The 3424-nt window shown below is 40.8% G+C and overlaps 1 pseudogene; it reads right to left on the bottom strand.

Moving 5' to 3' along the window:
- Positions 2302-3213, bottom strand: FTH1P8 (ferritin heavy chain 1 pseudogene 8; annotated as a pseudogene).

Here is a 3424-nt window from a genome sequence, read left to right as displayed (position 1 = left end):
CTCAGTTACCCTACTAAGTATGGTCATACATTTAGCCAAAATACAGGGGCTAAGGTGATAACAGTAAAGTGGAAAAGAGGCTTCAGCAGTTCCACAAGAAATCTCCTGAGGTTCTCTTCAATGTCACCTAAGTTAGTGGAACCTTTGGCATCAAACACCTGCATTCAAATTCCGATTATATCACTTACAAGCTCTGTCAACTCAGAAAGATATTTGACCTCTTTGTGCATATGTCCTCACCTACAAAATGGGAATAGTAATACATACTTCAAGTAATTGTCATAAGGATAAGAGAAACACTACCTGTAAAGCATTTAGCACAAAGTTAGGCAGAGAACAGGTACTCAATAAGTAACTATTATTACTGTGATTCCCTCAGAGAAGCACCCCTTCTGACTCCAGGCCAATAGAATCATTGTCAGGTTAAAGTTAGTCTTGAATGACCTATGTGTGGACAATCAGGGAAATAACCAGTTTATATCCTAGCTTAATAAAGCCCTCCAGAAAGTGTCCACATGCACAAATACACACACACACACACACACACACAAACACACATGCACATGCACACCCCAAGCAAAATGAATAGGATAACATTTCACATATAATTCAGATTCAGTTGCGTATACACTGAAAGAAGCTATTTTTCATAAGCAATTTATTAATTTAGAAAAAATGCGATTCACAAACTCAGTTGAAGGAATTTGGCTGAAATGTCACTGCCAATAATGAATGTCATCTTTCAAGACAGAGCCATCTATAGAATAACTTCTACAAAATAGATAAAATGTAAATTTCCATTTTAGGCTGTATGGAAGGAGTATTTCACTCAGCTTTACAAGGAGATGGCATTATCTCCATGCTTTGTGAATCTCAGTGTCCTCCCTAGCCAATTATATCAAACTTTTTAGCACTTTTGATTCATGATTGTGCTTGACAACATTGTTTGACCCTCAGCATCCTCAGCACCCTCTTCCATGCACCTTCCTATTTCACAGGGGTAAAAAAAAAAAACTAAAAACTCTATTTCCCAGCCTCTCTTGCAACCAAAATTCTGGATGTGAATTCCATTTGTCCAACGAGATGCACTTGCACAAGATTTGAAGTGTGGGAGGGAGGAAAATGCCATCTTCCTACTGCTTTGGCCACTGTTGGTCAAATTTACTAGTCAGCTTTGAGCTCTGTGGGGGAGAAGTAGTGGAAGTAACAGCATTGATGGCAGAAGTTCTTGAGTGGTAGCTTCTTAGCCTCTAGGTGACAGTTATGGTGGTGTGTTTCCCAACCTCCAATCTTCTAACCTTTCCAAGGATTTTATAAGCACTGAACCCTAACTGATACAATTCCCTTGGTGCTTTAAAAAACCTTTCCACCAAAACAATTTTATAGCAGTGAATCATAAACTCTACCTCCACAGAGTCTGGGAATATAGCCCTAAGTGAGCCCTTGAGTGCATCAAATGTCTAAAGCTCATATTTTATTTCAGCAACCAATGCAAAATTAGAATTCTGTTCCATAATTCACCTGTTTGTTTTCATACAAAAATGTTTTAACTTATTTGCCTTCAAATAAAACATATGCTAGAGGAAGGCATGCTATGCCTATTATGTATCACAGATCAGTGGTTCTCGAACCAGGATTTGCATCAGAACATGTGCAGAGCATCAATAGCTAGTTTCCCAAGATCCATGCCAGACCTTTGGAATGAGAATCTCTGAAGATTCATGGTGGATTACAGACAGTAAATTTTTAAAAACTCCCCAGTTGATTCTGTTGTGCAGCCAGGTTTGAAAAAAATTTGTTTGGATTTTCAGGAAAATACGTACCTGGATTATATTCCCTCAGTTTTCCCAAAAAGATGTTTTCAGTGAGTGAGTTGTGATTTGATGTTTTGACTGCATTTTTATAGAGGGTAGATAGTGAAAATATTCAATCAAAGGTCTCTGTGTCTTTTCTAAAAATATAATTAAAAAACCATTGTCCTAAAGATAGCAACAATAGAAACTAGGAACTACTAGAAGAGGCAGGGAGGGAGGGAGGGAGGAGGGAGGGGATAGGTTGAAAAACTGTTGGGTATTATGCTCAGTACTTGGGTGATGGGATCATTCATATACTCCAAACCTCGGCATCACACAATATACTCAGTTAACAAACTTGCATACGTACCCCCTGAATCTAAAATAAAAATTAAAAAATAAAAACCCCCATAAAAATTAAACCAAATAAAAACTTCACTCCACAATTTCAGCTTCTTATTCAAGGAAAACAACAATCTTCTATTGAAATTTACTTTTTTTTGGGGGGGGGTACCAAATTTCTTTATTTGCAGGAATGGTACAAATCAAAGAACTTAAGTGGATGTTTTGGTACAATTTATAGAAAAGGTAAAGGAAACCCCAACATGCATGCACTGCCTTGGTGACCAGGGAAGTCAACCCACGGCTATGGGGAAATTAGCCTGAGGCTTACCTTTCATTGTCACTGTCTCCCCGGGGTGTGCTTGTCGAAGAGATATTCCGCCAAGCCAGATTCGGGCGCTCCCATCTTGTGCAAGTTGGTCACGTGGTCACCCAATTCTTTGATGGCTTTCACCTGCTCATTCAGGTAATGTGTCTCAATGAAGTCACACAAATGGGGGTCATTTTTGTCAGTGGCCAGTTTGTGCAGTTCCAGTGGTGACTGATTCACATTTTTTTCCAAATGTAATGCACACTCCATCTCATTCAGCCCGCTCCCAGTCATCACAGTCTGGTTTCTTGATATCCTGAAGGAAGATTCGGCCACCTCATTGGTTCTGCAGCTTCATCAGTTCCTCAGCATGTTCCCTCTCCTCATGAGATTGGTGAAGAAAGTATTTGGCAAAGTTCTTCAAAGCCACATCATCGTGGTCAAAGTAGTAAGACATGGACAGGTAAACGTAGGAGGCGTAGAGCTCCAGGTTGATCTGGCGGTTGATGGCCGCCTCTGAGTCCTGGTGGTAGTTCTGGCGCACCTGCGAGGTGGACGCGGTCGTCAAGGCGGCGACTAAGGAGAGGCGGCGGCGGTGGCTGCGCGGCCCTGGAGCGGCGGCGGGGACCTTGGGGCAGTCCGAGGGCGCGGTGAAAAGGTGACGGAGGGCTGGCTATGGGTGGCCGGCCGGGGTGGGGGACGAGCGCCGGGTTCCGTCCAAGCACAGTTGAAGCAGGAAACCTCGACGACTCTCGGCGAAGAACGTCTCTGAAATTTACTTTTAAGCAGAGCTTAAACTTATCTTTTATTTGTGCAATTTGAATTTAATTTTTTATTTCTAAAAAATAATTTCCTCCAAAATTTGAGAGGCATAATTCTTTGGAATATCATTTTTCTATTTCATATATGTAAAATAAATCAGTGAAATAAATTATAAGCAAAATTGTTTTTAAAACATTGTCCAATATGTCAGTGTCAC

The sequence above is a fragment of the Homo sapiens genome, chromosome X (genome assembly GCF_000001405.40).
Source record: "Homo sapiens chromosome X, GRCh38.p14 Primary Assembly".
In the NCBI taxonomy this organism is placed as follows: Eukaryota; Metazoa; Chordata; class Mammalia; order Primates; family Hominidae; genus Homo; species Homo sapiens.
The sequence above is the reverse complement of the archived record's forward strand: the minus strand, read 5'-3'. Positions and strand labels throughout refer to the sequence as shown.